Source organism: Homo sapiens, chromosome 7, assembly GCF_000001405.40.
Source record: "Homo sapiens chromosome 7, GRCh38.p14 Primary Assembly".
Classification (NCBI taxonomy): domain Eukaryota; kingdom Metazoa; phylum Chordata; class Mammalia; order Primates; family Hominidae; genus Homo; species Homo sapiens.
The window spans coordinates 3,302,229-3,314,706 of record NC_000007.14 but is presented as its reverse complement, the minus strand read 5'-3'; the positions used below and the strand labels follow the sequence as shown (position 1 = coordinate 3,314,706).

Genomic DNA, 12,478 nt, shown 5'->3' with positions numbered 1-12,478 from the left:
TTTCATGCTTTTCATTCCACAGAAGACAGCAAAGTTAGAGATGCAGATGGCCTCTGTCTTTCCAACTATAACATTCCATGATACAGATATAAGTAATTTTCAAAATTCAGGAATTGATGAGCATCAACCAATCATATCAAGTTGCCACAAAAATGCAAATGGCTACAATCTCATCTGTAACTAACTCTCATCCACTGAGCTGCTCCATCTCAACCACTTGCCTCTTTGTGTATGCTTTATCTCAGCTCTGAACAGTGCTTCACCCTGCACATTTAATCTAACTCTCTGCTGGCCAAGATCCAAGTCCACATTTCCTACAGCTATGACAATAAGACCCTAATTCAGAATGTAAAGGTCACTTGGAATGTACTGGCTAAATATGAAGGTCTTGATGTTTGGTCCTTTGGCAAGAATCCTGTTCTGATCTAGGTGTTGGGTTCCTCACTCCTGTTGATCAGCAGCTTTCCACCTGAATCCTTCATCTTTGTATTTCCACGTGCCAATCTGAGTCCCCAGATTCCAACATGGCTTGCCTATATGTATCCCTGCTAGGGTCCTATTTAACACTTATCTACCAGATGCTGAATCCCCTGTATGGCTTAAAGGGCTCTCCAGGGTCATCTGCACATTGGCGCTGTATTTTTTGGTGTGTATGCCCTAATAAACTATAAGCTCTCTGAAGGAAGCAACTGTTATTGATCACTATACCTTTAACACAGCACTTTATTCACTGAGGCATTAGATGAATTAACTCCTGCTCACATACATTTTTAAAATTTTGACAAAAATTTGTATATATTTATTGTGTACGACATGTTTTGACACATATATATTGTGAAATGGCTAAATAGAGCTAATTATATGTATTACTTCACATACTTTTTTGTGGTAGGAATACTTAAAATTTACTTTTAGCAACTCAAGAATAAAACAAGTTATCATTAATTATAGTCACCATGTTGTACAACAGATCTCTTGAATTTATTCCTTCTAAATGAAATTTTGTATCCTTTGACCAACATCTCCCAAACCCGTCCCTACTGCTTACACTCTCGCTAATCCGTTAATCTGCAGTATGAGTACTTGTAGTGGAAACTGCTGACACTTTTCTCAAACTGCAAAGCAATTACATATAAATTTAAGGGGCACATTGCAACAATGCTTCCTATCATTTAGCACTTTACAATCTGTACCTCACTCCTGGGTTCAATTTCTTTCTTTTTGAAGTGCATTTTTTAGTAGTTCCAACTACTAATCATCAACTTTGTTTTTTATCTACAACCTTTATTTCACTTACTTTTGAGATGGAGTCTCGCTCCGTCGCCAGGCTGGAATACAATGGCGCAACCTCAGCTCACTCCAATCTCCGCCTCCAGGGTTCAAGCAATTGTCCTGCTTCAGCCTCCCAAGTAGCTGGGACTGCAGGTGCATGCCACTGTGCCCAGCTAATTTTTGTATTTTTAGTAAAGATGGCATTTCACCATGTTGGTCAGGATGGTCTCGATCTCTTGACCTCGTGATCTGCCCACCTTGGCCTCCCAAAGTGCTGGGATTACAGGCATGAGCCACCACACCCAGCCATTTCATTTACTCTTGAGTATCATAATACTTTATATGGACATGGAATTCTAGGTTGGTAGTGGATTTCCACTTCCAGCCTTTGATGTTATTATTCAATCATCTTCTGCTATGAACAAAATGCCTGCCAGTCTAGACATCAACTTTCCTCAGACTGCTTTCCTCTTATTTTCTAAGGCTTCATCTACAATATGTCTAGGTATGAATTTATTTTTATTTATCCTGTGTGGGGTTTACTACGGTTCTTGAAACTAAGAGCTCAGGCAGAACTTGTATTGATTATGAAAACTTCTCAGCCATTCTATCTTCTAATAGTGTCTCTCCTACTCTATTTCCTCTTTCTGGAAGCTCACAGAAGGTAATATGAGACTTCCTCATTCTAAAGTTCATGAATTGTAACCACTCATTTTCCATTTCTTTATCCCTTATTACTGTATTCGAAGAAATTTCCTCAGATCTCCTTTAAAAATCTATTGATTTTTCAATACAGTTTTTATCTTCAATTATATCTACCTGGCTCTTTAACCTGTCCATTGAGGTTATTTTTTTTAAAAAAAAACACTTAATGACCATTATTTTCATTTCTAGAAGTCCTACTGGGTTCTTTTCCAACTCCATGTTATTTTTCTAATCTGTGCTCTTTCATTATGATCTTACCCCTTTCATCTCTCATAATTTTAAGCAATTAATCTCTTTCATATATCCTATCATCTCAATCTCCTGGAATACTATTCATCTGCTAACTCTCCTTCACGGTGATTCATTTCCTTGTGTAGCTGGGCAATTTTTGTATTGCAAGCTCATCTATAGCATGACTTGTTTCTTCTGCAAGAGTCTTAGATTTTTAATTTGCTCTGCAGGTCAGTTTCAGACCTGAGGGCTCTATTCATTTCCATAGTTCTAGACCAGATTTTATGCTAATTTGTCTCAGCTTGAAGGTTAGTTGCACTATAAGAAATGTTAAATTTGAATCCACCCCAATTATGAGGTGCAATCTTGGAGTTTAGATGTCCCTTTTTTATTCCTAATGATCACAACCCCAGGAGGACAGCAAGTTTCCTACACTTTCCCAAACCAGTAGGCAAAGTTTTTCTAGTTCTCTTTTCACAGATGGAAAAGCCCTTCAAGGTTTGATGCTAGAGAACCTTTACTCCACCTTCCAAGTCTATGCAGACCCAAGGCCATGCCTCCTACTCCTCCATGAGACCCTCAGGACTAAGCCATTGGGGCGTGTATTCAGATCAGAAACCACCACAGGCCTTGAGCTCCTGATTAACGCCCTAGCTCTGAATTTTCTGTTCATAGCTGGCACCTAGGGATTCCCTGGTATTTTAAACTTCAGAAACGCTTGTTTGTTCTTGTTATATTTTGTCCACAGTTTCTGTGTGTTTATAGCAGGGTGGTGAAGGGAGTCCTCCACATTCAGCTTTGGTGACAATGTTGCTAGAAGCCTCCACGAGTCGCAACATATGAAACAGAAATGATCACTTCAGAGAATTGTGATAATTACTTACCATTCTGCCAAATGACAATTTTTTTTCCCAGCCTCAATAATAGATTTCAAATTTGGAAAAAATATTCCCAAGGTATTTTAAGATCATTTTTGTCACTATGCATTTCAAATGCCTCCATAGTTCTCTTTCCTTGAGAATTTCAATAGAACAAGAACATACCGGTTGACTCTTTTCTCCCTACCCATTCATTCCATAATGAACTTCAATCTACTTTATACTCCTAGAACTCCAGTGAGATTGAGCTCAAAAAGATCACCATTACCCATGTAATCAACAAATCCAATGGCCTTTTGTTCTCATCTATTTACCTCTCTAAGCAAGACTGACCATTCCATTTTTTCCATCCCAATACTACTGCAGTTCAAATATTATTTCTATATTATCATAACCATTCCCTAACTCATCTCCATCACTCTACTCTCCCCCCAGGCCCATCGCCCTGCAATTTATCCAGGTTGTATCCCAGCCAGGCTAATATTAGTATAATACCTCTCCAGTTATGTCAACTGTCCATACTCCCCACTCTACTACCGTGACTCATCACTCCCTAATATTACAGGAAAAGAAAAGATAAATAAGGCAGGATTCCTCTACACAAAAGAATAAATAACACCACCTAACACTTACTGGATGCATGCTATGTACTTGGTAATGCGATAAAAACACCTTACCTACAATCATATCAATCAGCCCTCACAACAACTACAGGAAGCAGGCAGAATCATTACACAATTCTTCAGGGATAAGAAAAGTCAAGATTAATGAAGATTAAGTAGCCAACCCAAGGATGCAAAGCTAGCAAGTGGTTAACTTTGTTTTATTTTATGCCAAGCCTATCCTCTTAAACAGTATGCTATACTGTCTCCACAAATATTTATACCAAAAGCCCAGACCCTCCTCTGGTTGCAAAATTCATCTATCCACACAACTTAACAGCTCTGTCTAGATGCCTCAAAGGTCCCTCACATTAATAAATTCAAAACCAAACTAATGATCATGCTGCCCAGAGGTGGTCCAACCTCAGTGAATGGTTATACTAGCCAACTAGTCATGCAAGCCAGAAACCTGGACGTCACCTTTGATGTTTTCTCATTCACCTTCCATACCCAACCCATGACCAAATCCCATGTATTTTTTGCCTCTTAAATCCCTCTCTAGTGCATCTACCTCTCTCCATCTCCAGCACCACCACCTAGCCCAAGCTGCTACTTTCTCTCACCTCAATTGTTGTTACAGTCCAACACATCTACAGTCATTCATTCTGGTTTCTTCCAACCCATTCTCAATTTTGCAACAAAAATAATGGTTTATTCCCCCCACTCAAGATGACTTTAAAATACAAATCTGATCATTTCACAGATTTTGGACTCAGCACCAAAGCTTTAAGTCTATCTTTGAGGGTCTGAAGCAATAGGAATGCAAAGAGTGGTGACAGCTGGGTTTCAGCCACAAAAAGAAAGCAATTTCCAGTGAATCCAGAATGATGCCAGCACAGACACAGAAGCAAACTGAGAGATGATGGCCAAAAGGACAGTACCCGGGAGCTTTTGAGCATGTGGCTCTAGTTATTCCCTAGGTGGAAGTGAATACTAAACTTGCCAAATGTAAAGAAATTCTCCTAATTATACTGTGATACCCCAGGACTCCTACAATAAAATCCTTTTTTTCTTAAGTAGTTCAGACTGAGTTTCTAGCTTGCAACCAGGAGTTTTAGCTAAGACAACCATTTTAGAAGAGCCAAGACAGCACGCTTAGAAAAAGGGAATATGCCTACAAGGCAAAAATAAAACAAATTCTACATAGAGTAAAAATACCTTTGGCCGGCAAATACATAAATATGCTTAATGTTTGTGAACTCATGTATCTCTTCCTTTTAAAGGTGTTACATAAAATGCTTTAGGGTAACAGCCATGTTTTCTTTTATGTTCTGCAAATCATTACAGCTTACTGTAAGAGCTGAATAAATGCTGAATAAAAAAAATCAGAAGTAAAAGCATGACTATACAATAATATAAATCAAAGTTGCATCCCTGGAAACTTGCTCCCTTTGGGAACAGTTTATACACTCATGTAAAAAAAAAAAAAAAAAATCTTTTTCTAGTGACACTCTGCCACTATTCTATTACCTGGTTTTGATTTCACATAGCTGGGTATTATAAACTCGCCTTGCTCTTAGCCAGAAATTGTACATGTTACCTAAGCATACTAAAAAGTGGTGAATCATGGAAGGAAAAAAAAAAAAAACTTGGCTGTGGAAACCACAGATTATATCCTATATGAACACTTTTTCTGTTGCCATCTGGTGGTTTGTGTATAAAAATCAACACTGACATCCATTGTATAGAAGGGCTTGGTCATACCCTATCAAAATCTCTTTCATTCTTTTTGCATCGCGCCTAACACCTAGAGAGAAGACAAAACTGACCTTCACTTTGAAAACAGGCTCACAAACACACAAAATAAATTAAGGATCACACCAGAGAGAGGGACTCACAAATACTACCACCTGTGGAAATCAGCACCCTTAGTTAAGTATGATAGGTTATACCTTTATGATACAAAATCCCTCCTTACTCTAAAACTGAAATATATTCTAATTAGCCTGCTTGGGTTGCTAAAATTCCTGCTACCAACTATTCTTAATAAAGGCAACTACCAGAGCTCCCCAAGTTTCCATATTCCTCCCCAAATCACCATAGTCATTACGTGGTTATCTCCCTCTATTTTTTTCTCATTGGAAAGACTATTCATCGTTGTAAAATTAAGCTTACACACTTGAGAGCTTCCAACCCCCTCAAGGTAAAGAATTAGGTCTAGAATACCATGGAGAGTTATAGAAAGGAGAAAAGGCAACCAAACACTGCACAAAGACTAATTCTACGTAATAATATGGACCCCAGGGTCTAGCCCATTCTTTGAACCCACAACTCTAAAGCCTAGCCTTATCCATTTAAAAAAAATTTTTTTGAAAATGAACCAAAGCCAAAAACACTGCAGAAACTATAGTCTTACCCATGTTCATCTACCTAATCTCCAAAAATCAGAAATAGATTTACCTGACTATCTGTTTTCAAGAAATTGGACTATTTAATTGATAGCTGTTATCTTCACTAGACATTGTCTGTATATCAATAAAGTGCCAGTTAAGCCTGTTAAAGTGAAAAATTACTGTGTTAATTTTAAAGACCCTTTGTTTTACTAAAAGCCCCTAATGAAGACAATTAAACCAACATAACATTATGTTAAGCACAAAAACAGACATCTACTAATCTCTTTCATTACTGATGGTCACTGTACAGTAAATATAAACATTCTCATCCATCGCCATTTTCTCATATCTTTTTAAGTTTCTCACTGCATTAATTACCTCCAGATTTGTTAGCCTTGCCCCTTCTTCCAGCCATGTATATAAATAAGCATCTCACATTTTAAGAAAATTTATTTCTCCAAATTTCAGGCTTATACTGATAAATTATGGCACCAATTTGTTTTACAGAACCTAAAATTTTGAACATGAACCATTTTTAGGCTAGAGTAAATATATCATGTGTTAGACGGCAGCACCTAAGGAGAAATACTACATTGCATCTTAGTTGTCTTCAACATTGTAAATACTCTGAGAAAAGTAAAATGAAGAAAATTAGGTTCTAAGCTAAGACATATGGAGTTACAGAATCCCCAGACAGGAGACACATGCAGACTCTAGTGAAGGGCAGAAAGGAAGACAACATATAGAAGATCAGAGAATCAGAGTAGAACAATTCTGAACATCTAGTCTAATCCCTCCTTTTATAGGTGAGAAAACAGACTCAGAGAGACTAATAGACTTCCTCATATTGCACAGTAGTTACAGAATGAAGTATAAACGAGGCCTACTGATACTTAGCCCAATGTCTTTTCCATTTACTATATCCATGTTTCTAGGAAAGCTTTATAAAAACTGCTTTCATTCCCACAATACCCACAGGAGATTGGTATCAGGCTGATGGAATGAGTTTCTGGCTTTGGAGCTTTCTGTCAGGAAGCCAACCACCTAAACACTAGAATTGCACATACATAAACAAGGGTTCCCTACAGCAATGCTCCCATAATAATCATGATTTTTGTATTTGGATTTAGTGGCAACACTGTTCACATAATGAAGCTCTAAGAGTAGTAACCTCTCCAGAACAGATCTCAGGTATAGGATCAATAACTGGCAGGTAGGTATCTAACTGTGACAGACTTTTGCATTTCAGGGATTCACTGAAGAACCTATAGCTTCTTTCTACTTGCTACCATAGGATGGCAGGAGGTGCCATATTTGCTGTCCCAACTGACAAAATATGTCCTCCCTCAGGATTATGGCTACGAACGTTTATGCCCTTTTTTTAAAAAAAAGAGGTGTACATACTTAGGGGGAAATTTAAGATAATGCCTTACAGAAATGAAGTCAAATAAAATTTTAGAAACTATGCAAATTAAAATGCTCGGTTACTTTGGGTTAAATGTATAATTGGGTACCAGGAGTATTTAATCAAATAACAAAACATCAATAGCTTTCTTTTGTAAATAAACCTTAATTTTTCTTTATACTACACCTTTCAATGTGATTTTCATTCCCCACCTTGAGCTTAATTCAACTTTCAACGCATTTGGACCTGGAGGTCTACTCTCATAACTACCACTTTCTTTACTTCTTAGAGAAATTTAAGCCGTGACCTAATCAGAATCCTCACTTTGTGTCCATTCCATTCTCTAGTTTCAGTCAGCTGACATTACCAGTCTCTGATCTCTGGGACACCGTAAGGCAGGCAGGCAGAAAGACACTACATGCCACACACCTCTGCCACCTTAGACGCCAAATCCTATGTATTCCAATACAAGCAATACAGGGGCTCTGAGGATGGAAATAACATAAAGGCAACTGGTAGGGAGAATTAAACTACACAGTCTTACCTGATATCACTTAATTACCCACTTAACTTGCAGCCTTCCACGTTGTTTTATCTCAGTATTTGAGGGCCCAGGAAACTTCTGGTTAGGTATAAACCCCAGTATAGCCTAAACTTAACTGTTTACATAAAATGTGTGCTAAGGCAAACTAATAAAAGATCAGTACCTTACAAACTCCACCTCCTTTAGTTAAAGGACTCAAATTCATACACTTCAGTGCAGATAAAAGAATTTTCCAAATGTTCCTCAAATAAATAGTTGGTGCACTCCCAGTAGTCCATTCTGGGGTGGTCTAATCTCTGCCAACAGACCATCATGAAGCTGGAATTCATGTTATGTTATGAAAGAAAAATTGGGGTAGGGGAATACATCAAAATGGTGATAGTCATTTTCTTAGAGGAGACGAATGTGTAGATGGAAGGGGTTACATACATCCCTCATCTCTATTTTCCAAATTATGTAATTTTTATTTTGCAATCATAATCGTAAATAAGGTTTATCTAAAACTTGAGGTCAGATTACTCAATACTGTTTTTAGAAAATATCAACCACCGTCTTTCCCTTTGGTACAGATCTGATTGCTGCCCATTTTTCCCTCTCCTTATAAAGGCAGAGGCTACATGGGAAACGCTCCAGCCCAGGGGTTATGAACTCAAGTTATGTTCAGACTCTGGATCAGACTTTTCATTCTGGCATCACCACTCCTGGTCCTGGGACCTCAGGAAAGTTAGTTAACATCTGAATGCCTCAGTTTTCCCATAGGTAAGATGAGAACAAAAATGCTGTCTACCTCTCAGGAGCTGCTGTGAAGAATAAATGAGCACTTAGTGCTTGGCACGTAAAGGTTCAATAAAGGACAGCTACAGGTGGCTATGCAGACTGCATAGAGGGTAATAACTGCTTATTGTTGGATTTGGAAGACAGTAACCAACCAAGAGACCAGTTGTCTGTTAAATACCCAGTGGCCTAATAAAATTTAATTAACTATCTGAGCACTCACTAAGCAAGACTCTTTATTAAGATGATATTCAAGTAAGGGAGTCTAGAACTCAAGTTCCAGTTGAAACTCAAATTACAAAGTTGTAAAGGGAGTAGGTTAGGAGGAGGGGAAGCAAAGTACTTCTGGATTAATGGAAAGCAACATGGGCCCAAAAGGAAGCTAGATTTGTAGTGAACTCAACACTCTAGCAAACAAGTGGCAGAAATGCCTAATTAGTACACCCTGTCCAAGGCTGGGAATTGGCCTGAGAAAAGTGACCCAGACCACAGAAAAATCAGGCTAAGGATGACAGAGAAATTGAGTGACATTATGGGATTAACCAACACGAGGATTAAAAATAAAAAATAAAAAAAGTAACACAAACATACAAGAATCACTTGAGGAGTTTTTAAATGCATGCTTCTGAGAACCAACTGGTCTGAGGTGGAGTCCAGATAACTGTATTTTAAATTTTCACCAGTGATTCCGATGTACACCTCAGGCAGCACAAAGCAGGGGCTCAACAGTTTCAGTAGGAATAAACGATACATAAGTGAAAAGCTAGTGTACTCTGTTGAGTTTCAAATCATGAACCTGGAACAGGTGTAAGTGAACACAGGCCCAAGGTCCATAAAAGTCACTGCAATTGTTGGGGGAGGACAATAAGCCCAGGAAGGCATGAAAGGGAAATCAAGCCATGTGGCCTCACGTAAAACCATTAGAGCAGTGGTTCTCAAACTTGGCTAAACATGAGAATCACCTGGAGGGAGGAGGGGGTGTCTCAGCATCCTGATGCCCAGATCAAACCTCAAGTTTATTAAAACCAATTCTAGGAGTGACATCCAGGCATCAGAAGTTTAAAGCTCCAGGTGATTCCAATGTGCAACCAAGTTTGAGAAACACTGGGCTAGAGAGTTTCCAGGAAGTCAGCAGGTGTCTGGAATAGGGGGAAACACAAGGTAATAAGTGAGTAGTTCTCGAATTCCAATGTGTATTATAATCACATGGAAAGCAAATGTGGCTCATGGAAGAGGAAGAGTAGGTACTCTACAGCTTCATCAAATTCCCCAGGTGATTCTAACACATACCAAAGCTGGAGAACCATAGGTCCAAGTGGAGACAATTTCAAATGAGAAACTGAGGACTATGAACAAACAGCCCCATGGACAAGAACATTCCTATCCTTTCTAGGCCTGAGGAATGCAAGCTGAATCTAGGAGGTCTACTGAACACTGCCAGAATCAGTAAGCCTGTAAAGAGTCCAGCAGTAAAGCTAAAGGCACCACGGACTTCACACATAAGACTGCTTATACATCTTTAGCCTCAGAAGTCATCCTTCCAAACCACTCACAGCTGGCTCCTTGGTGGATGGCATAAAGAAAGCATGTGTTGCCACCTGCCTTCCAGAATTAAAGACTTGGCTTTTTAGGAATCCGGGAAAGTCACAAGCAATTAAACACACAGCAATAAGCAGAGCATACAACTCAGAAATTCTCATCACCGCATAGAAAGAAGAAACTCCAGGGCATATTAAAGTTACATTTGGAAGACCTGAACCTGGCGGTTCCCATCATGATCAGTTACATAGAGGGTCTGTAACCTAGGTTATAAAAATGTAACTTTTACTGATCAATGTCGCACGTTTTTTCTCAAAATACACGACCTAGCCTACTTACATGAGGTGCAGAGAAATTAGTCATAGCTTCACCTAGCTACAATGTAATAATATGGTACTTAGGAGGCGCTCCAACGTAGTGGTAACTATTCCATTTAGAATGTTACATCTGATAAGATTCAAGAGAATGCACTCCTGCACATATGACCAACTCATCATCCCATCAGAAATCTCTTATAACAGCACCAGAATTTTCATTTTCAAGATACATGAGCTTTTGTCAAATGGTGACATCTCCTCTGTAATATGAATTTTCAATACGATATAAAAAAAGATGGATATATTACACATTTCACAGAGCAAAGAGAACAGAAACCCGTCAATGAACTTAAAATTTGTGACAACCTATCTGAAATTTTACACTAAAAGATCTGTACACTTTCATAAGCCATATAAATGTAAAACAGGTACCAATGTTTTTACTGCCAAAAAGGAATAAAATATTCCTAACAAAGTTCGGTTGTTGCCTTAATATATTTTTAAAATGTATTTTCATTAACATTTCAGTTGTTAAAATGCAATGCTTTACACAACCTTCAAAGTGCAACTGATAAAAACTTGAAATCTATGTAATATACTTCAAAACAAAGCCACTGGCAGATTTTTTCCCCACCATTTCAGTCTGTGCACCAATCTTCAAATGTATGAACGTACAGGTCTTAGTGCAAAATGCAAGTCACTGTTTAAAAAAAGAAAACTTAATAAACACATTATTTTAAAGGTCATCCTAAGTGATTTAGATTTCTTCACTTGAACCTGGTTGCTCTAACAATCTACAGATCCCACTGTACAAAATGACTTAATAAATGCTTTTCTTCCAGAGTAAGTCATTAAGCAAAAAGCACAAATAAGTGAAATGAAAATTTTCCAAGTAATGGAGGAGTTAAATTAACCAGAAATATGGCAATTTGTTTTCATGTAGTAAAACATAAGAGGGAGCATTTATGAAAGCTGGAGGGGGGTGGAGGGGCACAATTTAGATAACGTTACATAAGCATCAATAAAAAAAAGTATGAGTTCGTTGTTAAGCTATTGGATGATAGTTTTGAGCTCAGACCTTTAAAATGTTACAACATTTAAGTCATGTTACTACACATAAATCATCTTCACAGGACACAGAACACAGCTAATTTAAGTTTAATGCTCTCATCTTCGCCAATCTCAGAATATCGAGTTCCTTACCATGATTGTTCGTTAGCTGTATCTTGGAATACAACTAAGTTAATTTTCCTAAAACTACCATCAGCAAAACCAGTTCACTAATGTGTTTTAAAGACGTTACCAAAGGACGTATTAAAATAGTTATTTCTGGGTTGAGGGGGGTGTTTTGGTTTAAAGACCAGCAAACTTCAAAAGAAAACGATGCTAGCTGGCAGGGGTACGTTACGGGTTTTGTCGGGGGCGGGGAGGGGGTGGAGGGAAGCCCAGATTTGGGAAGGAAAGCTCGTTTCACAAGAGATCCCATCTCTCGTTTCAAAAGGTCATTTCCATTCAGCAGATCCTCTTTCCCTATTTCAGAGCTCACCACTGTATTCTAAACAGAAGCCAATAGAGGGAGAAAAACAAAGCCAAGTGCAAAAGCTGTGGGCACTGAAAGTTTTGCTCCACCGGCCGCGCAGCACCCACTTGGGGTCGGGCTTTGGGACTTGGGGGAGTCAGGAGCAGGCGGGGGCTGGGGAGAGGACGAGGCCCTGGGGAGGGGCTGGAAAAGGCTTTTCACAGCGACTGGCACTTGATATTTCCAAGTCTTCTGGATGTCACTCACCGGAAACCAGACCCTGCGGTGCGAAGACTCAG

The 12,478-nt window shown here is 38.7% G+C and overlaps 1 protein-coding gene and 1 long non-coding RNA gene across 5 annotated transcripts in view; one reads left to right on the top strand and one right to left on the bottom strand.

Moving 5' to 3' along the window:
• SDK1-AS1 (SDK1 antisense RNA 1) overlaps positions 1 to 12,478 on the top strand; it is a 108,539-nt gene that overhangs the window by 37,379 nt on the left and 58,682 nt on the right. For all 4 annotated transcript variants that reach the window (XR_001744897.3, XR_001744898.3, XR_007060194.1 and 1 more), the window contains exon 1: positions 1 to 12,478. This exon is cut by the window's left edge and continues 37,379 nt beyond it. This is a non-coding gene — a long non-coding RNA (SDK1 antisense RNA 1).
• Positions 1 to 12,478, bottom strand: part of SDK1 (sidekick cell adhesion molecule 1) — a 967,749-nt gene that overhangs the window by 954,294 nt on the left and 977 nt on the right. The gene's annotated exons all lie outside the window — the stretch shown is intronic.